Source organism: Homo sapiens, chromosome 19 (genome assembly GCF_000001405.40).
Source record: "Homo sapiens chromosome 19, GRCh38.p14 Primary Assembly".
In the NCBI taxonomy this organism is placed as follows: domain Eukaryota; kingdom Metazoa; phylum Chordata; class Mammalia; order Primates; family Hominidae; genus Homo; species Homo sapiens.
In genome coordinates, this window is record NC_000019.10 from 17,049,430 (window position 1) to 17,075,534 (window position 26,105).

General features: G+C 49.5%; 1 protein-coding gene across 2 annotated transcripts, besides 2 other annotated features; it reads right to left on the bottom strand.

Annotated features, from left to right (window-relative positions):
• On the bottom strand, window positions 300-26,104 carry HAUS8 (HAUS augmin like complex subunit 8). Of its 2 annotated transcripts, none has more exons than NM_033417.2 (11): window positions 25,965-26,023; window positions 23,845-23,906; window positions 19,602-19,657; window positions 13,269-13,350; window positions 10,568-10,663; window positions 10,128-10,222; window positions 9,382-9,447; window positions 9,120-9,278; window positions 6,432-6,573; window positions 3,396-3,537; window positions 300-747 (listed from the first exon to the last, which is right to left on the bottom strand). In NM_033417.2, the coding sequence occupies exons 1-11, from the start codon at window positions 25,991-25,993 to the stop codon at window positions 444-446; spliced, it is 1,233 nt and encodes a 410-aa protein (NP_219485.1). In that variant the 5' UTR covers window positions 25,994-26,023; the 3' UTR covers window positions 300-443. The 2 variants fall into 2 exon arrangements, with proteins under 2 accessions (NP_219485.1, NP_001011699.1); NM_001011699.1 differs by having other exon boundaries at window positions 332-747; window positions 10,568-10,660; window positions 25,965-26,104.
• Window positions 390-684: an enhancer, noted in NCBI's record as "tiled region #9643; K562 Activating non-DNase unmatched - State 17:Gen3'". NCBI's record gives its function as "activates a minimal TATA promoter and a strong SV40 promoter by Sharpr-MPRA in K562 cells {active_cell/tissue: K562}" and the evidence as "EXISTENCE:reporter gene assay evidence [ECO:0000049][PMID:27701403]".
• Window positions 25,766-25,965: an enhancer, noted in NCBI's record as "active region_14253". NCBI's record gives its function as "activates an Ori minimal core promoter by ATAC-STARR-seq in GM12878 lymphoblastoid cells {active_cell/tissue: GM12878}" and the evidence as "EXISTENCE:reporter gene assay evidence [ECO:0000049][PMID:35858748]".

The window sequence follows — 26,105 nt, forward strand, 5'->3', positions numbered from 1 at the left end:
AAGCTCCCTACTTCAGCCCCAGAAGCTGGGGCCAGGGGAAGGATGATGTGGATTGTTCTTGTTTTACCCCTTCTGTTGAATGTTTACAGACACAAACTTGAGTTCCAATAAAGAATTGCATTTCCCTAAAAAAGTAAATAAAGTATGTCCACTCGAGGGACAATTCTTAACTTGCTGTCCCAAAACCACCCTTGTGACTGAAGGACATGAAATCATCTTGAAAGTGGGATACTGGGCATGTCGTGGAGGCCCGGAATTTCAGGACCAGTCATCCAGAAGAACTTGAGAAAACACAGGTCTTCCAACTGGCCCCTTCATAGAAAATGGAGGCTTCAATTGCAAAACAGGTTTACTTTTTTATCAAACAAGATTATCACATAAAAAATAGCTACAGTGCTACGGTAGTATATAAAGTGCTCAAGTATCCTGAATGTAACCATGAGTCATGACAAGTCCCTCCCTGAACGAGAGAGAGAGGGCGGGACTTCTGCCTGGCTGCTTGAAGAAAAATCTTCGCTTGGGCTGATGAACGTGGCCTGAGCGGGGGCTGACGAGGCACCCGGGTTGTCGTCCTCAGACAGGGGCGTGTTCTTGGGTGCTCCCCCAGATTCTCTGCAGGCACTGTCTTGATTGAAATACCACCGGCTGGGGGGCGCCATGCCCTGGGTCTCTTCCCAGACTTCCTGGTTTGCCAAGGCTGCCTCTTTGCTTGCCTCTGCGGAGAGTTCCAGCACCTGGGCAAAGCTCCTGTTGAGGATGGGAGAAAGAATAACGGCTTTCACCCTCTGAGGTGAAGCGCATGTGTGTGGTGAACGGAGGGCTGCCACACGGGGAGGCGGATTTTCACATGCCCTACGTGCTCAGTGGGAAAGGGCCAGCAAATAAGATCCGTCTGAAAAGACTCAATCAGGGAAACCCCCCAAGAACAGCACCAGACATGAAAGGAAAGATTCATCCAAGAAATGTTCATGGAGCTCAGTGCTGTGCTGCTGCTGTGGTGGGAGTATCTGTCCCCTCCAAAACTCCCATTAAAAATTAATCCCCTGGCCAGGTAAAGTGGGATTGAAGTGCTGTAATCCCAGAACTTTGGGAGGCCGAGGCAGACAGATGGCTTGAGGCCAGGAGTTCGAGACCAGCCTGGGCAACATGGCAAAACCACGTCTATACAAAAATTTTTTTAAAAATACTGGGCGCTGTGGCTCACACCTGTAATTCCAGCACTTTGGGAGGCTGAGGCGGGCAGATCGCCTGAGGTCAGGAGTTCAAGACCAGCTTGGCCAACATGGTGAAAGCCCATCTCTATTAAAAATACAAAAATTAGCCGGGCGTGGTGGAACGCACCTGTAATCCCAGCTACTGGGGAGGCTGAGGCAGGAGAATCGCTTGAACCCAGGAGACAGGGTCTATAGTGAGCCGAGGATCGCGCCACTGGCACTCCAACCTGGGCGACAAAGTGAGACTCCGTCTCAAAAAAAAAAAAATTAGCTGGGTGCAGTGGTGCACGCCTGTAGTCCCAGCTACTTGGGAGACTGGGGTGGGATGATCGCTTGAGCCTCGGAGGCAGAGGTTGCAGTGAACCGAGATCGCGCCACTGCACTCCAGCCTAAGCAATGAAATGAAATCCTGTCTCAATAATAATAATAATCCCCAATGTGGCAGCAGCGAGAGGTGGGGCCTTTAAGAGGTAACTGGGTTCATGAACATTCTGCCGTTCATGGATGAATGAGTTATCCTGGGAGTGGGACTGTGGCTTTATAACCCTTTGATGTCTCCTGAATTGATCCATGGCCACCCACAGGAGAAAGAAATGCCACAGTGGGTGGCTGGCTGTTTTGCATAAGTCCTTTTCCAATATTTTAAGCAACTCAGGAAAAAGATTTAGCATTGTAAAAAAGAGAAAAGATACTCTACTGGAAGAGGTGGAGAAAAGCGCGTGGTTAGAAATCTCCTGGGGGAGGTTAAAAAAAAAAGCGGGGGGAGATCTTGATGGGTTTTGGGGGTCTGGACGCACAAGGATATGTGCTCTGTGCAAGCCACTGCACAGTCCTTTAAGATCTGGGCCATTTCTATCAATCAGAAGTTCAAAAAACATCCTCCTGGGACCTTACCCTGGAAGGCATTGAAAACACCAACAGGGCTGATGTGAGGGCGCCTGTGCTGCTGGGTTACTCTGAGGATGTGAATGATAGGTGACACCCTTTCTCTTCCAGCTGCTTGAGAACTTCCATAGATTTTTTTTTTTTTTTTTTTTTTCCTGAGACAGGGTCTCACTCTACTGCTCAGGTTGTAATGCAGTGGCACGACCACAGCTCATTACAGCCTTGACCTCCCCAGGCTCAGATGATTCTCCCACCTCTGCTTCCTGAGTAGCTGAGACCACAGGCATGCACCAGTGTGCCTGGCTAATTTTTGTGTTTTTTAAATAGAGAGGCCCGGCATGGTGGCTCACGCTTGTAATCCCAGCACTTTGGGGGGCTGAGGTGGGCAGATCACTTGAGGTCAGGAGTTCAAGACCAGCCTGACCAACAAGGTGAAACACTGTCTCTACTAAAAATACAAAATTAGCCGGGCGTGGTGGTGTGCACCTGTAATCCCAGTTAGTTCGGAGGCTGAGGCAGGAGAATTGCTTGAACCCAGGAGGTGGAGGTTGCAGTGAGCCAAAATCATGACATTGCACTTAAGCCTGAGCAACTCTGTCTCAAAATAAATAAATAAATAAATAGAAACAAGGTCTCACCATGTTGCCCAGGCTGGTCTTGAACTCTTGGCCTAAAGTGATTCTCCCACCTCGGCCTCCCAAAGTGCTGGGATGACAGGCGTGAGCCACTGCGCCTGGCCCTTCCATGGATTTTTCTGAGCTCTTTTGTTCTCTCTTCCCCCTGCTCTGCTTGAGTCTTATACTCTGTGAATCTAGGACACGTCTTATAGCATATTTGATCCTCACTTCACCTAGAGTCCCCATTAGCTCAAAAATGACTGAGAAGTAGGCTAGAAAAGGGAAATTAGCTGGGCATGGTGGCGCACACCTGCAGTCCCAGCTACTGAAGAGGCTGAGGTGGGATCACTTGAGCCCAGCAATTTGAGGTTGCAGTGAGCTGAGATCTGCCACTGCACTCCAGCCTGGGCGACAGAGTGAGAACCTGTCTCAAAAAAAAAAGAAAGGGAAGGCAAGGCGGGTGCTTTTGGATGGAGATTTTGTTATCCACAATACAGATGACAATGACACCTGCTGGCCATTCTTGTATCATGCAGCGTCTGGGAAAAGAGCAGCTCGCTCAGGGGACTGAACCTCCTCTGAACTCCTAGAGGAACTCGGCACCACCCCAACAGTGCAGCCACCAACAGCCCTGAGCAAACAGGGTGCCACCTCTTTCTTAAAGCATTTTCCGAGGTACCTTCGGAGCTCAAGGTCCTTTTTCGCCGTCACGTCCTTGAGTTCGCTCAGTAAGTCCAGCACCTGCACATTTTCTTCCGAATCACCAACATCAAGTTCTCCCAGGAGGCGCTGAGTGGTCACCAGTTCATGCTGCAGGGCGTCTGGAGGGGAAGAGGGATGGTGGGCGATGGATGGCAAGGTGCCCCACGCAAGGCACACACAAGTGGAGCGGCCGACAGACTTCTGTCATGATGCTCGGCTATCGCGCTGGAACCGTGGAGAGCGCACAGGGAAGAAGCAGAAGCCAAGGAAGACATTCGTCCCTTATCCATCCCGTGCTCTGAGATTGTGGGACAGGCACATCCATCTATCCAGGAGGGCATTGGACCAGAACTGAAATGTCACTCTGGTGTCCTCAACAGAAACCAATGCAAATGTGAAAAGGGCTGTGCTGTGCCAGGGAGAATGCCTGAGGCCTCCAAGCCAGACCATGAGCAACTGAAAAACAGTCCTTGTTGCCTGCACCACTGAGCAGAAGGATGCCTGCAACTGCGGGACCTGTGTCACCTGCACTAGGACAACACGCCTCTCTACCCTGACATACATCACATCAAGGCCAGTCGTACATGAGAGTCACATTTTGGGAGCCTTTTAAGTGCCGTATCAGCCAGCCTCTTCTCCCTCCGGCTGTGGACCGAATTATGCCCTCCCCAATACGTACGTTTCACTCCAATCCTCCACTCCTAGTGAACATGACCTTAACCAGAAACAGGGTTTTGTGGATGGGGGGGAGTTAAGATGGGTGGGGCCTAATCCAGTGACTTGTGTCCTCATCGGATGCGGGAAATTTCTTTTTTTCTTTTTTTTTTTTTTTTGAGACAGAGTCTTGCTCTGTCACCCAGGCTGGAGTGCAGTGGCACAATATTGGCTCACTGCAACGTCCACTTTCCGGGTTCAAGCGATTCTCCTGCCTCAGGATCCTGAGTAGCTGGGATTACCGGCACCTGCCACCACACCTGGCTATTTTTTTTGTATTTTTAGTAGAGACAGGGTTTCACCGTCTTGGCCAGGATGGTATTGAACTACTGACCTCGTGATCCACCCGCCTCAGCCTCCCAAAGTGCTGGCATAACAAACATGAGCCACCGTGCTGAGCCTGATGCAGGAAATTTCAATAACGAGACAGCCAGGGAGGAGGCCACGTGAGGACGGGCAGAGAATGGAGGGACACGGCCATGAGCCAAGGAACGCCAAGGGCCACCAGCAGCCACCAGCAGGTGGGGGAGACACAGGATGAGCTCACCTGACAGCCCCTGGAGGGAGCCAATCCCATCAACGCCTTGATTTCAGACTTCTGGCTGAAATCAAGACTCCCAGAACTGGGAGGGAATATCTTTCTGTTGTTGCAAACCACCCATTCTGTGGCCGCTTGGTATGGCAGCCCCGGAAAACTCAACACGATCCCTAGGCCGTTCCCAGGAACTACCTAAGGAACTGAGCAGAGACTGAGTGTTTTCTAAGAGTTACAGATGTGGAGGTGACCGCAGTCATAAAATCAGAAACCCGGCCGGGCAGGGGGCTCACACCTATTCAGGAACCCAGTGCTTTGGGAGGCCAAGGTAGGAGATCACTTGAGCCCAGCAGTTCTAGATCAGCCTGGGCAACATAGCCACACCTCGTCTCTACAAAAAAAAATATAATAATTAGCCAGGTGCGCCAGGAGCAGTGGCTCATGCCTGTAATCCCAGCACTTTGGGAGGGCAAGGCGGGCAGATCACCTGAGGTCGGGAGTTTAAGACCAGCCTGACCAACATGGAGAAACCCTGTCTCTACTAAAAATACAACATTAGCCGGGCATAGTGGTGCATGCCTGTAATCCTAGCTACTCGGGAGGCTGAGGCAGGAGAATCGCTTGAACCCAGGAGGTGGAGGTTGCAGAGAGCCAGGATTGCACCATTGCACTCCAGCCTGGGCAACAAGAGTGAAACTCCGTTTCAAAAATAAATTAGCCAGGTGCAGTGGTGGATGCCTGAAGCACTAGGGAGGCTACTACTCAGGAAGCTGAGGTGGGAGGATCTGAGTAGAGCCTGAGAAGTTGAAGGCTGCAGTGAGCTATAATTGCACTACTGTACTCCAGGCTGGGTGACTACGCTAGAAGATTCCACCTCCGCAGAAAAAAAAGAACAATGGCAGGGCATGGTGACTCATGTCTATAATCCCAGCACTTTGGGAGGCCAAGGTGGGAGGACTGCTTGAACTCAAGAGTTCAAGTCCAGCCTTGGCAACATAGCGAAACCCCGTCTCTACAGAAAAAAAAAAAAAAAAAAAAAAAAAAAAAATATATATATATATATATATATATATATATATATATATATATATATATAAGCCAGGTGTGGTGGTGCCCACGTGTACTCCTAGCTACTCAGGAGGCTGAGGTGGGAGGATCACTTAAACCCAGGAAGCAGAGGTTGCAGTGAGCTGAGATTGTGCCACTGCACTCCAGCCTGGGCGACACAGCAAGATGCTGTCTCAAAAAAAAAAAAAAAAAAAAAAAGAACCAAACTCCAGGGTAGCCAAAAACTTGCTCTGTGGGAAGATACCTGTTCTGAAGAGAATTTAAGGTGCAACGCGGCAGTTTTTCACACTTGCCAAAGTCTTCAAGTTAGGGATTAGGTGGGAACCCTATGCCTGAAAGGGACCTCACTGCTCTGCTGAGGGGGAAAGCCGGGGTGGGGCTGGTGGTCTTGTCACCCCCCAACCACTACGGCATATTTGTTGGGAGCAGGACTCAGGAGACTACAGGTCGTCCCCGCAAAATGCCTTTCGGCAGGACAGATCACTGTGAATCCCACTGCCCAAGGTTCAAATCCCAGTGTGGTTACTTACTCAGGGCGAGACCCTTGGAGGAACCACAGCCTGGCCAGCCCTCCCCATCCTCTGCCTTAGTTGGGGAAGAGGGCACTTGCGGTGATGACATCAGGCCCACAGGAAGCACCCACACACGCTCCTCGCCCCGCCTGCTGCACACGCACTGGGACGCCCCGTTTCCTACCTAAGAGCTGCTGCCCATCTCCCTCCAGGTGGATGGACCTCACGGGCAGCTCGTGCCTGGTAGTGTCCAGGGCCGTGGCGAATGTCCTGTATTGCTCCTTGAAGCGTGTGGCCACTGCCTCGAAGGGGCTGAGCATCTCGATCTGTAAGCAGAAGGGATAATCAGGGGAGACCCTGGAGTCCCCTCTCTGGAAACTTAACAGAAGCTTAACGGCTTGTGCAGGGTTAAGATACAGCGCTGTTCTTCACCACCCCCCAGGGAATCAGAGCTCAGGAAGTTTCCGAGGGTGTGGTGAGCTCTTCCCAAGAGAGCCAAGTGGATGGCAAGGCGGCCCAGGCCCCTTACTGAGAACATGTGTCTGCCAGCGGTTCTAGGCTTGGGCCCTCAGCTGAGCCCACCTGCTTTAGAGTACTGCGCCTAAACGCCTGCCTTCCACAAGGCCATCCCCGGCATGGCCCACTCCCACCCCAAACATGCTGTCTGGGTCTTCATGGGGGTTTGAAATGATATACGATTGACCCTTGAGCAACACGGGAGTTTGGGGCATCAACCCCTGTGCAGTCAAAAATCTGTATCTAACTTTTGACTTCCCCCAAATTTACTGATAGCTACTGCTGACTGAAACCTTACTGATAGTAAACATTCAATAAACATGTAAATAGATTAGCATCTATATACACACACACATACACACACACACAGACACACATACAGACACACACACACACACATACACATATATATTTTTTAGATGGAATCTTGCTCTGTCTCCCAGGCTGGAGTGCAGCGGCGCAGTCTCGGCTCACTGCAACCTCTGCCTCCCGGGTTCCAGCAATTCTTGCGCCTCAGTCTCCCAAGTAGCTGGGTTACAGGCACGCATCACCATGCCCAGCTAATTTTTTGTATTTTTAGTAGAGACGGGGTTTCACCATGTTGGCCAGGCTGGTCTCAAACTCCTGACCTCAAGTAATCCGCCCACCTCAGCCTCCCAAAGTGCTGGGATCACAGGCGTGAGCCACTGCACATACATATTTTTTATAGACAGATCTTACTGTGTTGCCCAAGGTGGAGTGCTGTGGAGTGATCACAGTTCACTGCAGCCTCCACCTCCCAGGGTCAAGCAAACCTCTTGCCTCAGCTTCCCAAGTAGCTGGGACTATAGGCATATGCCACCACACTTGGCTAATTTTTAATTTTTATAGAAATTGGCCGGATGCAGTGGCTCACACCTATAATCCCAGCACTTTCAGAGGCTAAGGAGGGCGGATCACTTGAGGTCCAGAGTTCGAGACCAGCCTGGCCAACATGGCAAAACCCTGTCTGTACTAAAAATACAAAATTTAGCTGGGCGTGGTGGTGCATGCCTGTAGTCCCAGCTACTCAGGAAGCTCAGGTATGAGAGTTGCCTGAACCTGGGAGGCGGACGTTGCAGTGAGCTGAGACAGCACCACTGCACTACAGCCTGGGTGACAGAGCAAGACGCCCATCTCAAAAAAAAAAAAAATTTTTTTGTAGAGATTGGGTGTCACTATGTTGCCCATGCTGGGACAAGTATGTATGCACTCATGACATGCCTAACTTTTTCTTAATTTTTTCAGTATTTCTAGGCTATAAGGTTCATCTATGAGTTTCTTCAAATTGTCACAAATCTCTAAAACTTTTTCCAATATACTTATTGAAAAAAATCTGCATGTAAGTGGAACCTCACACTTCAAATTCGTGTTGTTTGAGGGTCAACTGGGTTTGTCTCTTTTTCTTCCATTTTGAGCTCCCTAAAGTCAGAGACCTTGTACTCAAGCCCAGGGTCTAGCTGCACGGGTGCTCACATGAAAATTTTGGATGTTAGGGGTTGAGCTGTATCCCCCCAAATTCATACCTGATGATCCAACTCCCAGTACCTTGGAATGTGCCCTTATTTGAAAAGAGGGACTTTATCAGGGTCATCAAGTTAACATGAGGTGATAGGGGGGTTGTAGGGGGGATGCTAATCCAACACGACTGGTGTCTTGTGGGGAAAGGGGGACACAGACACACACAGCAGGGAGGACATGTGAACACAGAGAAGACAACCATTCACAGGCCAAAGACAGGGCCAGGAGAGATTCTCCCTCGCAGCCCTCAGACAGGGCCAACCACCAACACCTCAATCTCGGACTTTCAGCTTCCTGAACCGTAAGAGAATGAATTCCAGTTGTTTTGCCCACCCAGGTTGTGGGACTCTGTCCCAGCAACCACAGGAAACTCACCCACTGGGTGGGGGGTCCGCCCCTGCCAATCAGCCCTTTCTGGGTTCCAGGGGTTTGTTCCTGTCCTTCTCCCACATGGACACTGCTGACCACACAGCATTAGGAGTGATGTGCCTCTCACCAGTACCCTGACCCTGCAGGGGAGTCCCAGAGCACGTCATCCTGTTGCTGCTCACGATCATCAGGCGCTCAGGAAGTCTCTGCACAAGTGCATAGAAGGTGCACACCTCCCTTATTCATTCACACTTTACTTTGTAACCTCATTCTCTAAAAGTGTCATCATAGACCAACACCAGGACCAGAGCAAGTGTGGCATTAAAAGCCCAACACAGTTAGAAGCCAGTGAGCAATGATACCCTAGCACGAATGCTACCGAAACAGTGGAGATGGGACAGATTCACAGGGAACACTCACTGGTCACAGAGTGTCACTTACAACTGACCTGGGCATCCAGGACATCTGCCAGCTCCCGCTTCCTCTGAGAGAGGAGAAGCCTGCGCTTCAGCTCGTGGGCCTTTTTCTGTAGCTTCTCCTTCTCCTTACACATTATTAATAAATTCTTTTCTGCCCTTCTTTCAAACTCAGCAAGATTGTTCTCCATCTGTTAAATGTGAAAGAAAAGCTCAAGCAGGTGGGGACTCCCTCCCCGTGAATGGAGGCCACCCTTCCATCCATGGCATACGTGAACAAGAAACTGTTTTCACCTTTACGGATAGTAGCGTCAGCAGTAGTGTCTGAGACTCCATCATTTCCATTGCTTCAGATAAATCCTTAAGAAAAGAAAAAGACCCTCTCAATTCCTGATGAAGTGGTATAAATCCAGCTCTTTTCCCAGCAGGGGGAGAACTCTGGCTTGTGTGGATTTTCTGTATTCAGTTTGATATTCGGTAGTTCTCTACTGTAGTGGGTCTATTGCTTCTATTTTCTTTTATTTGGTTTTCTGCGGCGCTGAGATGAAAGAGGGAGGTCCACAACCTTCCTTCCCCTGGCACCTGGCAGGTGGAGAGACAGCAGCAGCTGGGTAGTCAAGGACAAGCTGAGAATACCCACCAATTTGGTGCTGCACCAGGACCAGAATGCCGTCTCCCCACCTGCTGGTCCCCCAACCACCAGTCTTGTCCTCACCCCAGTGAGACCACAGCCTAGCCGTCCTCCCACCAAGGGACAGGGCCTGGCATTGTGCCTTTCCCAGCACAGCATGGGCACAGAGAAGTCCCCTGTCTCATTTTTTACATGGCTCCATATTGGTATCCACTACTGAATGTGTACTTGGGGAAATGTAAACTCTACAAATGATCTAAGAACATCTGTAGTCTTGATTTTTGTCCTAAAGGGCATGGGTGTCTTTTATGTTCTTGGATCCGTGGGCACTCAGCATCTGGTTCAGAGTGGACTCTAAATCAGATCTATGCAACCCATCTGTGGCTGCCCTCTTCTTTCAGACACTTACCGGGCTCTTTTTCCGAGGGGCAGAAAATGATGTTGACTCAGGTTTCTTTGATATTGTTTTTGCTAACTGTGGCGTCTTTTTGACGATGCTTTTGTCTAAGATAAAGCACAGCATTTTTAATGGCAAGTAGCGTATATAGACTGGTCCCTGGTTGCCATTTTTTTTCTAATGATGGGTTTATTGGGATGTAACCCCATCATAAATTGAGGAGTATATGGACTTATAACAGTCCAGTTAAAGTTGTTCAACTTTGCAAGGGGCAAAAGGCAAGTTTAATACCCTTTACCAAGGTATTAAGTATATTTTTGATGTACAATATTTTCAACTTACAATGGGTTTGTTGGATGTGACCCCACTGTAGGCCAATTGTACTTTGGAAGCCCACTGAGACCTACTGCAACCCCCAGTGAGTGACAGAAGGGGTGAAACAAATGATTTACCATTAATAGCAGAGAGATCCAGGTCAGGTGGAGCTGTGCCATGCCCTTCCAGCAACGTGGACTGCAGGTCACCCTTTCCGACCCCACTGCTATCTGCTGTTAAGAAAAGAATCCCCGAAAGTCAGCACAGTCAAGAGACACTCTCCATTCAAGCCAGGAAACGCAGGCCGTGTTTTTGAACAATACCACTTGCTTCTAAAAGCCCAATTTCGTCCAAGGTGGAAAGGCTAAAAAAAAAAAAAAAAAAAAAACCTGTGGAAATTCCCAGCCATCACCTTGACTCTATTTTTAAAGTACCACTAGAAGACAGAGACATTCTGTATAACCAAAGAGACGCAAATAGGCCTTTCTGCTAGTTCACAAGATGCTACAGGTGGGATACGATGCCATATTCCCATTCTACCCTCTACTCTCTTTCCACCTTTTTTGTTTTTGAGACGGAGTTTCACTCTTGTCACCCAGGTGACAATGGTGCAATCTCGGCTCACTGCAACCTCCACCTCCCGGGTTCAAGTGATTCTCCTGCCTCAGCCTCCCAAGTAGCTGGGATTACAGGCACTCGCCACCATGCTCAGCTAATTTCTGTATTTTAGTAGAGATGAGGTTTCACCATGTTGGCCAGGCTGGTCTCAAACTCCTGGCTTCAGGTGATCTATCCACCTCGGCCTCCCAAAGTGTTGGGATTACAGGCATGAGCCACCGCACTCAGCCAAGTAATCTTTCCATCTTTTTTCTGCAGCTTCTGGACTGTTCATCCTCCCTGGGAGTTCCCTTCATCTTTTAACGTATATTCTAAACTGTAAAATTAAGCCTTACACTGTCTAAGATGGGCACTAGCATACAGCATGCTACCACTACACAAGAGCCCAGGAGTGCTGCAGATGCCAACAGATGGCACGTACGGTATGTTGTGTTAGGAACTAAGCATGAGACTATTTCATGAACAACTATGCAGCTGAGGAAATGAATGACCTGGAAATGAAAAGAGGAAGGTCACTGCAATGTGTAGGGTACAATATAACAACGATTTGTGTTGAAATTCTTAAAAAAAATCTGGAAAGATCAGCAAAAATCTATTGAGAGCACATGCCCTCAGGGCACAGACTGGGAGCCTGGGGTGAGGAGGTGGAAATTTTCTTTTTTTTTTTTTTTGAGACAGGGTCTTGCTCTGTCACCCAGGCTGGAGTGCAGTGGCACAATCTAGGCTTACTGCAACCTCTGCCTCCCAGGCTCAAGCAATCCTCCCACTTCAGCCTCCTGGGTAACTGAGAATACAGGCAAGTGTCACCATGCCCAGATAATTTTTTATTTTTTTATTTTTAGTAGAGACAGGGTTTCACCATGTTGCCAGGTAGGTCTGGAACTCCTGGGCTCAAGGGATCTACCGGCTTCATCCTTCCAAAGTGCCGGGATTACAGGCGTGAGCCACCACACCCAGCTAGAGGTGGTAACTTTTTATTGTTATTGCTTTTGCCCTGGAATATTTTATCATCAGCATGTATAGCATTTGCACTAAAAAAATTAATTTTCTACAAAGCCATACAATGGAACTCAAACAAGCAGTCCTTTGAAATCATTATGGTGTGGTTTAAATTAAGGTTTCTTAGCCATGGCATTGCGAGCACATGGGGCTGGATCCTTCCTTGCGGTGGTGGGGGTGTCCTGTGCATTCAGGATGTTAAGTGGCCTCCCTGGCCTCCACCCACCAGACGCCAGTAGAACCCCTTCCCCCAGATATGACAACCAAACACATCTCCAGACACTGCCTAAGCGTTCCCTGGGGGTCAGAATCGCCCTTGAGTAAGAACTGGTTTTAAGGTGTGGCAGGCCCAGTCTGATCCCCTGGCCACACCAGCATTCCCAGCTTCATGCATGGCCTTCAACCCAATTAGATGGGGAAAGACTAGCAGGCTGGCTCTAGTGTGCCTGCTTCTCAACCACGCCTGGGAAGGGCATAGCGCGAATTCTCACAAACATCTACACCAGGAGTGGCAAATTGTAGCTCATAGGCCAAATCCAGCCCGCTTCCTTTGCTTGTAAATAGTTTTATTGGCACACAGCTATACCTGTTCCTCTATGTCTGGTCTGGGGTTGTTTTTAATGTTACAAACAGCAGAGCTGAGTCTTCTTGTTGATGTTGTTGAGACGGTGTCTCACTCGGTTGCCCAGGCTGGCATGCAATGGAGCAATCTCGGCTCACTGCAACCTCCGCCTCCCAGGTTCAAGCGATTCGCCTGCCTCAGCCCTGCACCCTCACCCCAAGTAGCTGGGATTATAGGCGTGTGCCATCATGGCCAGCTAATTTTTGTATTTTTAGTAGAAATGGGGTTTCACTATGTTGGCCAGGTTGGTCTCGAACTCCCGACCTCAGGATGAGTCCTCACAGCCTCTCTAAGAGTCTTGCTCTCAGAGCACCAGTGGGAAAACAGTCACATAGACAAGAAACTGATGTCACAAAGCAGTACCATGATGGCAATGTGGCTTTTCTCTGGGGCCACACAGGGAAGAAATGATCTCCCCTTTGCTCCGCATCCCCACTCACCTCCCCACATCCCCCCAGTCTGTCCTTATGCTCCAACTCTCTCTGCTCACTGCTTCTGACCCTTCCCAGAAAGGAAAGAAGGAACTTTAACTTAGCACCCATGGAGACAAAATTTACTGCCGCGCTCATCACTGCCCGAGGACCATGGCTGTTTCGCACCTTTGCTTTTCTGGAGCAGGCTGGATTTCCTTCCACCTTCAGACATCTTCCCTCGGGTCTGTGACCCATCTCCTGCAGGAGCCTGTTATGGGAACACATGACACTCAGAGGACAAGACATCCTCCCTTCACAACAACGGGCCCTGATGCGGTCTGCACTGTGTTTCGTAACTGCTCTTACTTTGAGGCAGGGGAGACATTTAAAGAGGTTTGAAATCTTACCTCATATACACAGGACAAACAAATTTTGTCAAAATGTAGATGCTCACTTGCAGAGAACATAGGAAACTACCAAAATGTTTGCTGGTGATTATTGACATGGTAGATTACAGGTGACTGATTTTTTTCTAGACACATTTAAGTATTTGCTAGTTTTCCAGAGAGAACATATAACTTTGGTCATCAGGAGAAACAAAGTTTTTACACATATGTTGTCAAAAAATATTTTTTTAAAGAAACACATGGAGCACTGGCCTTCTAATAACCAAAAGCAAAACAAAAATCTTATAAAGAGCAATGGCCAGGTGCAGTGGCTCCCGCCTGTGGTCCCAGCTACTCAGGAGGCTGAGTTGGGAGGATCGCTCGGGTCCAGGGGTTTGAGGCTGCAGTGAGCCATCACACCACTGCACCCCATCCTGGGAGACAGAGCAAGACCAGAGCAACGACATGACGACGCACAGACACCACTCTCATTCAATATCACAGTGGAGGTCCTCAGATAAGAAGTAAAAGGCAAACAGGTTGAAAAGGAAAAGTAAAACTCTGTTCTTACAAACGTAATTTTTCATGTAGGAAATCCCCGAACATCTTCAAAACTGCTATTAAAATTAGTAAGTTTAACAAGAGTTTTCTTTCAATTTTGTGTGTGAACTTGACTGGATATGGGGTGCCCCAGACTGAACATTTTTGGGTGTGTCTGTGAGGGTGTTTACTAATGAGATCAGCATTTGAATTGGTGGATGCAATAAACTGCCCTCCCCAGTGTGTATGGGCACCATCCAATCCCTTGAGGGCCTGAATACAACAAAACAGTGGAAGGAGGAGAAATTCATACCTTTTGCTTCCTGCTTGCCTGGTTGAGCTGAGACATCTTACCCCATCTCCTGACCTGTCCTCAAACTGGGACTTACACCTTTGGCTCCCCTGGTCTCAGCCCTTCAGACTCACACTGAACTAAACCACCAACCTTCCTGGCTCTCCAGTTTGCAGACAGCAGATCCTGGGATTTCTCAGCCTCCATAATCACATGAGCCAATCCCGTGTAAATAAATCTCCTTTTATATATTCATATCCTTTTATAAGCCTCTCTTATTGGTTCTGTTTCTCTGGAGAACTCTAATACAGCAGGGGTGCAGGACACACGATCAATATGTAAAAATTCATATTTCTAGCAATGAAGTAGCAATGAACAAGTTTGGAGATTGAAATTAAAATAGAGTACCATATACAATGGCACTAAACACCAAATGCTTAGTTATAAACCAAATAAAATATGTGTAAGATCTATAATCTGGAAGCTACAAAACAATGTTGGAGGAAATCCAGGAAGATCTAAATAAATGGAGAAGCATACCATGTTCATGGATTGAAAGACTCGCTTTTATTAAGAAGGCATTTGCCCTGATTTATGGATTCAATATAATCAAAATCCAGCAGATATTTTGCTAGAAAATGACAATTCTAAAATCTCTATGGAAAGCCAAAGGAACGAGAAGAGACTAAACAGTCTCGGAAAAGCACAGTGAGAGGTCTCACATTACCTGTTCTCAGGACTTAGTGCAAAGCTACAGTAACCTCAGCAGTGTGGAACTAGCATAAGGATGCATACATAGAACAATGGAAAAGAACAGAGCCCAGACATGATGTGCACATACATGGTCAACTGGTATTTGACAGAGATGATGAGAGAATACAACGGGAAAAAGGAAAATCATTTCAATAAATGGGATTACAACAACTGAACACCCATACATGAAAAAACGAACTTTGATTTAAACATCACACCATACACAAAAACTAACTCACAGACTTAAAAGTAAAACCTAAACTACAAAACTCGTACAAGAAAACAGGAGAAAAATCTGTGATCTTGGATTAGGTGGAGATATCCTGGATAAGACTCCAAAAGCACAATCCACAAATGGGGAAAGTGATCAAATGGGCTTCATCGAAATCGTCAACTACTGCCTCTTAAATTAAAGCACTTAACAGCATGAAAAGACAAGCCAGACTAGAAGAAAATATTTGCAAAGCACCACAAAGAGCTGGTATCCAGAATATAGAAAGCACCCTCAAAACTCAGTAACAAGAAAACAACTCAATTTAAAACTGGACAAAAGATCTCAACAGACACATCCGCAAAGATACAGGAATGGCAAATAAGCACATGAAAAGATGCTCAATATCATCGGCTATTATGAAAACACAAATGAAAACCACAATGAAGTATCACTTCACACCCACAAGACTGGCTAGAATGTGAAAGTAACAACTTGCACTTTTCATCTATGTGCCTAGTGGGAACATAAAGATGGTGCAGCCACTGTGGATAACAGGTAGTTTCCTGTTACCATTATATAGAGATGTTTTCATCTACAACTCATGGCTTGTAACTCCTATAAACCCTTGTTACAGTAAGCAGGATCTCTCTGACCTCCCACACTCCTTTCACCTGCCAGAGAGGGTCCTGCCTCATACCCCAGAGGAAAAAACGCAACAGAGGCCAAGAAGAATCTGAACAGACAGGACTTGCTGGGTTTAAAGCATGCCCTTTTTGACCAATCACATTTCCACAGGGCTGTCCATGCTTCAATCGTGCCTAAGTCATGAAGACTCTATAAAAACCCAAAGGAGCTGGGCGTGGTGGCTCATGCCTGTAATCCCAGCACTTTGAGAGGCCGAGGTGGGCAGATCACGAGGTCAGGAGTTCGAGACCAGCCTGACCAACATGGAGAAACCCCGTCTCTACTAAAAATACAAAATTAGCTGGGTGTGGTGGCATGCGCCTGTAATCCCAGCTACTCCAGAGGCTGAGGCAGAATAGCTTGAACCCGGGAGGCAGAGGTTGCAGTGAGCCAAGATCGCACCACTGCATTCCAGACTGGGCGACAGAGCGAGGCTCTATCTCAAAAAAAAAAAAAAAAGCACAGAGCTTGGAGAGACTTCAGATCAGATAGCTAACACGTGGAGATTCCCAAAGGGTGGTATGCCCGAACAGGCCATGGAAGCTCTGTGCGCCTTCCCCCCATATCTCACTCTACACATCTCTTATCTTCTAAAAAAAAAAAAAAGAGACAGGATCTCACTGTCACTCAAGATGGAGTGCAGTGGCTCACTGCAGACTCAACCTCCTTGGCTCAAATGATCTTCCTGCCTCAGCCTCCCGAGTAGCTGGGACTATAAGCACTCACCACTACGCACAGCTATTTTTATTTTTTTGTAGAGGTAGGGTCTTGCTATGTTGCCCAGGCTGGCCTCAAACTCAGGCTCAAGCAATCTTCCCACCTTGACCTCCCAAAGTGCTGGGATTACAGGCCTAAGTCACCATGCCCAGCCACTTGGCTAATGAAAAAAAAAAAATTTCAGAGACGGGGTCTCGCCCATGCTAGTTTGGAACTCCTGGCCTCAAGCAATCCTCCCATTTCGACCTCCCAAATTGCTGGGATTTCAGGCATGAGCCACCACACTTGGCTCCATCTGTATCCTTTATAATATCCTTTATAATAAACTGGTAAACCTAAGTGTTTCCTTGAGTTCTGTGAGTCACTCCTGCAAATTAACTGAACCCAAAGAGGGGGGTCATGGGAATCCCAACTTGAACTTGGTTGGTCAGAAGTTCTAGAGGCAGAAGAGGGGCAGTCTTGGAGACTGAGCCCTCACCCTATAGGTTCTGATGCTATTTCCAGGTAGTGTGTCAGAATTGAATTGGAAGATACCCAGCTGGTGGCTGCTGCTTGCTGGTGGGGGAACCCTCAGAAGTCCTGTGTTGACTGTTGTTGAGTGGGAGAATAGGAAACACAGTTTGAGTTTTTCTACGAGCCAGCAATCCTCCTCCTGGGAGAAATAAAACCACGTCTACACAGAAAAATACACAAGAATGTTTACGGAGGCTTTATTCATAATCACCAAGACAGGAAACCAACTGACTGCCTGTCAATCAATGAACAGATGAACACAACGTGGTCCATCCACTTGATGGAATACTATTCGGCCATAAGAAGGAACCAGGCCGGGCATGGCGGCTCATGCCTGTAATCCCAGCATTTTGGGAGGCTGAGGCAGGTGGATCATTTGAGGCCAGGAGTTCGAGACCAGCCTGGCCAACATGCTGAAACCCTGTCTCTACTAAAAATACAAAAATTAGCCAGGTGGGGTGGCACACACCTGTAATCCCAGCTACTCGGGAGGCTGAGGAAGGAGAATGGCTTGAATCCAGAAGGCGGAGGTTGCAGTGAGCCGAGATCGCACTACTGCACTCCAGCCTGGGCAACAGAGCGAGACTCCATCTCAAAAAAAAAAAAAAAAGGAAGGAAGCACCTACATGCAATACATGCAACACAGAGGAACTTGAAAGGCACTCTGCTAAGTGTCAGGAGTCAGAGGCAAGGGCTACAAACTGTGATGCCACAGATATGACCTTCTAAAAAAGGCAAAAATGCAGATTCAGAAAGCCAATCTGTGGTTGCCTGGGGGTGGGAGAGGGGCTGGTCCTATCAGAGCACAAGGGGATTTAGGGATGACTCGTTCTGTAGCTTGATTATAGAGGCGGTTCCATGACTGTCTATGTCTGTCAAAACAGGCAAGACCCTATGCTGAAAAGGGGGATGCTGACTCCATGTAAATGACACCCTGATTTTTAAAATGGGGGGAAAAACAGAAAAGATCTAAAGGGCTAAAATGTTACAGCACGCAGACACACGGGGGCGCTGTAACCAAGTCTTGGCAACAACATGAAAATTTGGAGCGTGGAAGACTGTGACCCTTTGTTGAAAACTGCTCTGAGAAGAGTATCTGTTTGTGCAAAGGTATCCTCTTTTCTCAAGCCGAATCTTAAGTCACAGGGTCGAGAACCCACCAGCCACCCAGAGTGGAAGACAGGCAGTGGGAATTTGACTTAATTTTATCATAAACCAAGATTTGGAAAGCAGAGGGAAGAATCCAACCTTGACTTCACTGAAAGAAAATATATAATTGTATAATCTACTGATTGCTCCCACGAACTCTCACACAAAGCACGTTCTCACGTGGTTAAATATCTTTCATGCCATTACTTTCAATGGTTTCACGATATTTCATGGTTTGCCTACACAATAGTTCACTAAACTCTTACTCCAATTCGGAGTGATCGAAGGATGTCATTTTTCCCATAGTTTTTCTCTAAAAACCTGTTTTTTTATTTTATTCTTTTTTTTTTTTTTTTTTTTTTTTGAAGACACGGGTCAGGGTCTCGCTCTGTCGCCAAGGCTGGAGTGCAGTGGTTCAATCTTGGCTCACTGCAACCTCTGCCTCCCAGGTTCAAGCGATTCTCCTGCCTCAGCCTCCTGAGTAGCTGGGATTACAGGTGCACGCCACTGCATCCGGCTAATTTTTGTATTTTTAGTTGAGACGGGGTTTCGCCATGTTGGCCAGGCTGGTCTCGAACTCCTAGCCTCAAGTGATCCGCCCACCTCGGCCTCCCAAAGTAGCTGTTTTTAAATACCAGCCAGACACCAAGAACTGTGTGCTGGGCACTGGATAAGACAGCTTCAGAATCCAGAAAGCGAATTAACTGGGTTGAAAGGCAAGAACAGGCTGGGCGCCAGGGCTCACACTTGTAATCCCAACATTTTGGGAGGCCGAGGCGGGAGCATCACTTGAGCTCAGTAGCTCAAGATCAGCCTGGGCAACATAGGGAGACCCTGTCTCTACAAAAACGTTTAAAAATTAGCTGGTGTGGTAGCACACGCCTTTCGTCCCAGTTACTCAGAAGGCTCAGGTGGGAAGATGGCTTGAGCCTGGGAGGCTGAGGCTGCAGTGAGTCGTGATCACACTGCACTCCAGCCTGGGCAACAGAGAGAGACCTTGCCTCAAAAACAAAAAAAAAGGGTAAGAACGATACCATGTTTCAATGGAGATCACAGCTTCGTAAAAGAGATGCTTATAGCCATGAGCCGTCGATGACAGACTCACAACTGGCAGCATGAAGGGCTGATGGTCTCAAAAGCACCTGAGTGAAGATCCCAAAATGCTTCCTTCAGGACCAGGTTGTGACCACCTCCCATGACTAGTTTCGGAATTCCAGTTGCTCAGAACCTTGCTCAGAACTGCTGCAAATGGAAGCTGGGTGCGGCCTTACCTTTTGGGTTGTCTTCTTTTCATACTGCAGATACCGGGACTCAATCACTCTTCCACCTGTGGGGACACACTGTTGGTGCACAACAAAACTACAAAGGACCGAAGACCCCACACACCCAGACCCCACGCCCCGGAGACCCAGATGCCAGGGGCCCTCTCCACTCAGTGACCAGAACAGAGGAGGTCACCACTCCTCCTGCTCGCCTCTGATCACGTCCTTCGGCAGCCTCAAGCATGCATGGGACGCCTACTGTATGCAAGTCCCAAGCCATGTGTGGAGTCACAGAGTTCCTGAGGAAGTAAGATCAAGGAACACCCTCCAAGGTCAAAGCTGCAAGTGCACTCAGACAAGCGGGAGGGAAAGAAGAAAGAGCTTTCACTGACGGCCTCCAGGTGGCTTCCTCCTTCCTCCCATCTCGTGTGACCCCAATGGCCCCTTCCCCCGCCTGTGTGTCTAGGACTCACTCCTGGTACTACCTTTTACTCCCCCCGCCCCTTACTCAGTTTGGGACCCCCTGCCCTGAGACATGCCCAACACCCAGGCCCTCTTCAGACAGAGCCAAATCCCTAGTGACAGCCCAACCCCAGGTCCCCTTCCAGGGCTACTCCTGGGAGCGTGACTGTGGATGGAACAAATGCCACCTGTCACCCCAGCTTCTGGAGGTAGGGGTCTGAACTGGATCCGGTTAGTCCCATTCTGTCCCCCAGCCCTCTCCCGGACCCCTCCCTCAAAACTGTTCCTCCCACCTCCTACGCCAGGCCCAACCCTTGGTCTCAGCAGGTGACCTGTTTCCTCCTTCACTGGGAAGACAGAAGTGGCCCCAGGAGACCCTCCCGCCACCACATCCAGCCACCTCCAGTCCTGATGGCTGCATTCCCCCGGCCCTGTGAATGGACCTTTGTGCTCCCAGATAAAGCGCCCCCCATTCTGGGCGCTAAAGCCCAGCCCTCACTTCCAAAAGGAAATGCCCCGCAACTCCCACCTCCCTGCCTGAATCCCCACAGCTCCTCTCTCCACCAGATGCTGGAGGTCATTCTTCCTCCTACCTGCACTCTCTGCCTCCCCCCATTTCTCCCATCCCCTTGACAGCAAACACCCCAAGTTCTTTATTCACCAGCTCCCCTTTCTCTCCTTTCTCCTTCCCTTGAATCCCGCCCCCCACAATCCAGCTTGCAGACACACCACCGCACCAGAACACCTTTGGACAAGACCACCGTGACCTCCCTTGCTCCTGAGCCCAGCAGTCCATTCTCAGTCCTGGTCATCTGAACCACCAGGCACAACCACTGCTCGTTCCCTGCTTCCTGAAACCTTCCATCAGCCTCCAACTGCCCTTCAGGGCTGAGACAGGCTGGCGTGCTGGGTCCATGGGCTCAGGAAGCCTAAGTGCCTCCGGGAACCTTCTGGACCCTGTGCCACCAACAACTTGCCTCTAACCTTATCACTTTGTCACCTCTCACTTGCTCTATTCAGCCGCTCTGCCGCGTGGACCCCCTTGCTGTGCATCCCCCTGCAGGCACCTCCCTCTCTCAAGGCTCTGCTCAGTTCAGACCACAGCACACTTGTCTCTGCCTGCCATTTCGTCACAGCATCTGTCATCATCTAGCAACCCCACAGCCTCCTTACGGTTCTCATGCAATGCCCACCTCCTCCCTAGAGCCCCAGGGGCCCAGGATTTTTGTCTCCTTCGCTCGCTGCTATGTTCCACCACCTGGTACGGGGTAGGCACTCGATAATATGTCAAATGAATGATTCTAGGCCAGGCGTAGTGGCTCACGCCTGTAATCCCAGCACTTTGGGAGGCCAAGGCAGGCGGATCACCTGAGGTCAGGAGTTCGCGATCAGCCTGGCCAACATGGAGAAACCCCGTCTCTACTAAAACTACAGAAATTAGCCAGGCGTGGTGGCATGTGCCTGTAATCCCAGCTACTTGGGAGACTGAGGCAGGAGAATCACTGGAATCCAGGAGGCAGAGGCTGCAGTGAGCCGAGATCGTGCCATTGCACTCCAGCCTGGCGACAGAGTTAGACTTTGTCTCATAAAAAAAAAAAAACGGTTCTGCATTGTATCGGTGCCATAGAGCTCAGAGGTTTGCCTTTGTACTGAAGAGGCCCGGGGAGAGTGACATGCTCAATGTCACACAGCTTGAGAGTTCAGCCAAGTGAGATTGTGACTTTGACCATATCTTTGTTCCAGTTGATTCTTCTGTTGGGGACTGGGGTTGCAGCTGCTACCCTGAGAGGAAAGGAGGTACCCTCAGAGTTAACAAGGATCCTTCAGTCAGCCAAAGGGCCGGGCTGTCAATCTGGGCAGCCCCAGGGTAGGAATGCACCATGCCTGCAGAGCGAGTGTGGGTGCAGGTGGGTGCCCGGCAGATGTGGACAATCGGAAGGCCACTCTCATGGTGCAGGTCTCCAAGGGCTGAGGCCAGGACCAGGTGGGGTCCCAGGGACAACCAGGCCACAAAAAGAGTCTACCCTGGATGGTGATCGAACAGCTGAGAGAAAGGACATCCCCAGCTCCCAGCAGAAAGACCATCCAGCCCGGGTCTTTCTAGTAGCATCAGGAAACAGTTTTGCTCAACAAGGAGGATCTCAGGCTTGGGCTGCCTTGGACGGTGGGGAAACAAAAGCACTTTCAAGTTTCCTGAAAACTAGGATACAACTGTTTATTTTAAACAGCCTGGCTAGGTGCGGTGGCTCACACCTGTAATCCCAGCACTTTGGGAGGCCGAGGTGGACGGATCACTTGAGGTCAGAAGTTTGAGACCAGCCTGGCCAACATGGTGAAACCCTGTCTCTACTAAAAATACAAAAATGAGCCAGGATGGTGGCAGCTCCCAGCTACTTGGGAGGCTGAGGCAGAGAATCGCTTGAACCTGGGAGGCGGGAGCTACAGTGAGCCGAGATCACGCCACTGCATTCCAGCCTGGGTGACAGAGCGAGACTCCATCTCAAAAAAATAAATACAAATAAATAAACAGGCTGAATTTTCCACAGAAGCAATATTATGAAGAAGGATACAATTCTTGTCCAAGAACGAGGTAGCTCATAAATATTATAGCTGTTATATGCGAGATTAACATGCGATGTTTAGAATTTGGGAATAAGTGGTCAGGAAATAAAAAGACAACTTACCCAGCAATGCTGAAACATACAAACCTTGCCTCACTTGGAAATAAAATCCTGCTCTAAGCTCGCTGAATTGGGCCCTGCGACACTGCACACACTGAGAAAATACCTCATTGTATCATAGTCTTGGCCTCCAATGATGGACTCTAGAATCTACCATGCAAGCCGAGCATTTCCTTTTTTTTTTTTTTTTTTTTTTTGAGATGGAGTTTCGCTCGCCACCCAGGTTGGAGTACAGTGGCGCGATCTCGGCTCACAGCAACCTCCACTTCCCAGGTTCAAGCCATTCTCCAGCCTCAGCCTCCTGAGTAGCTGGGATTACAGGCACCTACCACCATGGCCGGCTAATTTTTGTATTTTTAGTAGAACGAGGTTTCACCATGTTGGTCAGGCAGGTCTTGAACTCTTGACCTCATGATCCACCCACCTTGGCGCCTCAAACTGCTGGGATTACAGGCGTGAGCCACCGTGTCCAGCCACATTTCCTTTTTTTTTGTTTTGTTTTGAGACAGAGTCTCACTCTGTCGCCCAGGCTGGAGTGCAGTGGTGCGATCTTGGCTCGTGGGGGAGGCCGTTAACGGTGATCCCAGACCGATAGGTGGAAATCAGATGTACAGGCACCCCTCATGAGACTGACACGCTCACGCAGTGGGAATTGAGAGTTTGATTTTAGGCCGGGGGCAGTGGTTAATGCCTGTAATCCCAACACTTTGGGAGGCAGAGGCGGGAGGATCACTTGAGGTTAGGAGTTCGAGACCAGCCTGGGTAACATAGTGAGACCCCAACTCAAAAAAAAAAAAAAAAAAAGGCAGAGTTTGATTTTTGATAATGATCTCCATGGTCTCCACACCCACGCTTCCAGGGGACATGTCCCGGACACAGCCCATGACCCCCATGGCTGCCAAGGGAAGCCACTGCTCAAAATGACCACCACCATTCCTGACACAGCCCTCGCCACAGGGCTGGGATGGCCAGACCCAGAATCCCCACAGGTGTGACTACAAGGAAGTAAAGCCACAGGCCCCCTTCTCTGGCCTGTTTTTTTCTTCCTCCAAAAGCACGTAATGAAAGAAGAAAACCATGTTCCTTAAAGAGATCCTGACACTGCTTACCTTGAACTCTTTTATCCTTCTTCTTGGCACTGCTAGAATTTGTGGGGCCGGTTGCAGGCTTCCTGCAAGAGAAGAGAGAGAGGTCTTGTTCACCTCACTACCCAAGAAGCACAGGGAAGCCGGCGAGGTGCCTCTGCTAGTTGAAGCTCAGACAGCCCAGTCCAAGGGCTGCCAGAGGACAATTTCAGTGAGGGTGGGCCACCTCAACAGGAAAAGGGACACAAGGAGCAGCCAGCCCTGGTCACCTGGGCAAGAAGGCATAGGTGAACACCCAAACTGAGAAGAGAGGAGGGTAATGAGAGCTCTGTGGAAGAGATCACAGCAGATCTCAAATTATCCCTGGGTTCATTCATTCACCAGACATTGATGCACCTACTATATTCCAGTAGAGACACAGTGGTAACAAAACACAGAGCTCCTTCCCAGAAAGGGAAGAACAACATCTTGACAGGCAGGTACGAGGAGTGGTCCCAGCAGGTACCTCACTTTGGGAGGCTGAGGCTGGCGGATCACGAGGTCAGGAGATCGAGACCATCCTGGCTAACATGGTGAAACCCCATCTCTACTAAAAATACAAAAATGAGCTGGGGTGGTGGCATGCGCCTGTAGTCCCTCCTACTCAGGAGACTGACACAGGAGAACTGCTTGAACCCGGGAGGCACAGGTTGCAGTGAGCCAAGATCACGCCATTGCACTCCAGCCAGGGTGACAGTGAGACTCCGTCTCAATAAATAAATAAATAAAAATAAAAATAAAAATAAAAATAGAATGAAGCCTGATGTAATAGGAAAGAAGGGACCCTGAGATAGGAATCGCTGACTCATCAGCTGTGGGGGTGCAGGAGAGGGAGAATCTGGGATGACTAGGGGTTTCAGGGTTTCAGCCTGAGCTGGTGAGAAAAGAAGGGATCCAAGAACAGACACCAGCAACACAGGAGGGGCAAGTGGATGGGCAAGTGGAGGGGCAGGGCCAAGGCCAGGGCACTGTAACTCCTGCTCCCATCACCAAAGGCGGCTCCACTGGTCCCTGCGGCCACCTCCTCTGAAGCAGGCTCCCAGGACCCCAAAGTGAGACCCAGACAATGTTGGGGACACTTCCAGGCCACCGTGGGGAGAGGCAACTTAGCAAATGTTCGCCAGGTGCCAGCAGCTGCGCTCGCCCGTAGGCTCCTCCTAACCCGACAGCTTCCTAACTGTTCACACCTGCTTTTTCGTCGCTGCAAAACAAAGACGCACAGGTTTTACATAGGTCACCCCCGGGGCAGTCTCACAGCCAGAAAGAGACAAGAGCACAGACTCCCTCTGGGGACTGTGCTAGGGCTGTGGCCTCAAACCGAATGGGCTCCTGGGTGAACCTGCTGCGACCTGAGGGGGGTCCCTACAACCTGTGCGAGCCTCAGCTACTGCACCTGTACCTGGGAGGTGCTACTGTCAATCTATCGGTTACGGCAAGGGGCGGTGGAGTGATTCCTCTTGCTGGCCAATTTCACTTCAGTTTGCACCTGGCACAATCAACACTGGCAGAATTAACAAAACTAGACAAATATAGCCTCATGATCATTCATGCCTAGCTCTCGGTCAGTATTCAACTTCTTTCTTGTTCATGGTGTGTTACCCTAGGCAAGTCACTTCCCCTCCCTGGGTCTCCATCATCTCCTCAGTAAACTGGGAGCACAGAATAAAGCGCGTGGGAGGATTAAAGGGGACACTTTGGTCGCCCAACACTTGTTCACTGCATAACGATAATTCCAAGAGCGACATCACAGTAAAGACCCAGGCGCCGATCTAAGCGCGTTTCAGCCTCACGCGACGCCTACGAGGTTGAGCTGCGTCATCGGCCCCATTTCGTAGCGGAGGAAAGCGAGGCACTGGGCGGTCAGGCCGCTTGCCGGAGGTCGCCCAGCGTCCCAGCCGAGGACGCGGAACTCAGGGCCGGTCGGGTGTCAGCGCTCCGGAGCATGCGCAGAGGCAGCACGCCATCGGGGTCTTCAGGGGCCCGCGCAGTTCCTGGCGGGGTCGAACCCGAACTCACCCCGAGGGTCCTAACTCCCCACCTCCGCTGCCCATCCTCTCCAGCCCTATGGCGTCTACAAATCCAGACCTGCGGAAGCCCCAACTCACCCAGCGCCTCGCCCCGAGGAATCCGCCATTTTCCCGCCTTCCACCTCAAGGCCCGACCCGCCGGCTTTTCAAAGCCGGACCCGCCCCCTTGCTTGCGGGTCGGACCATTTGTGGAGACGCAGGAGGGGTGGCTGCGAGGCG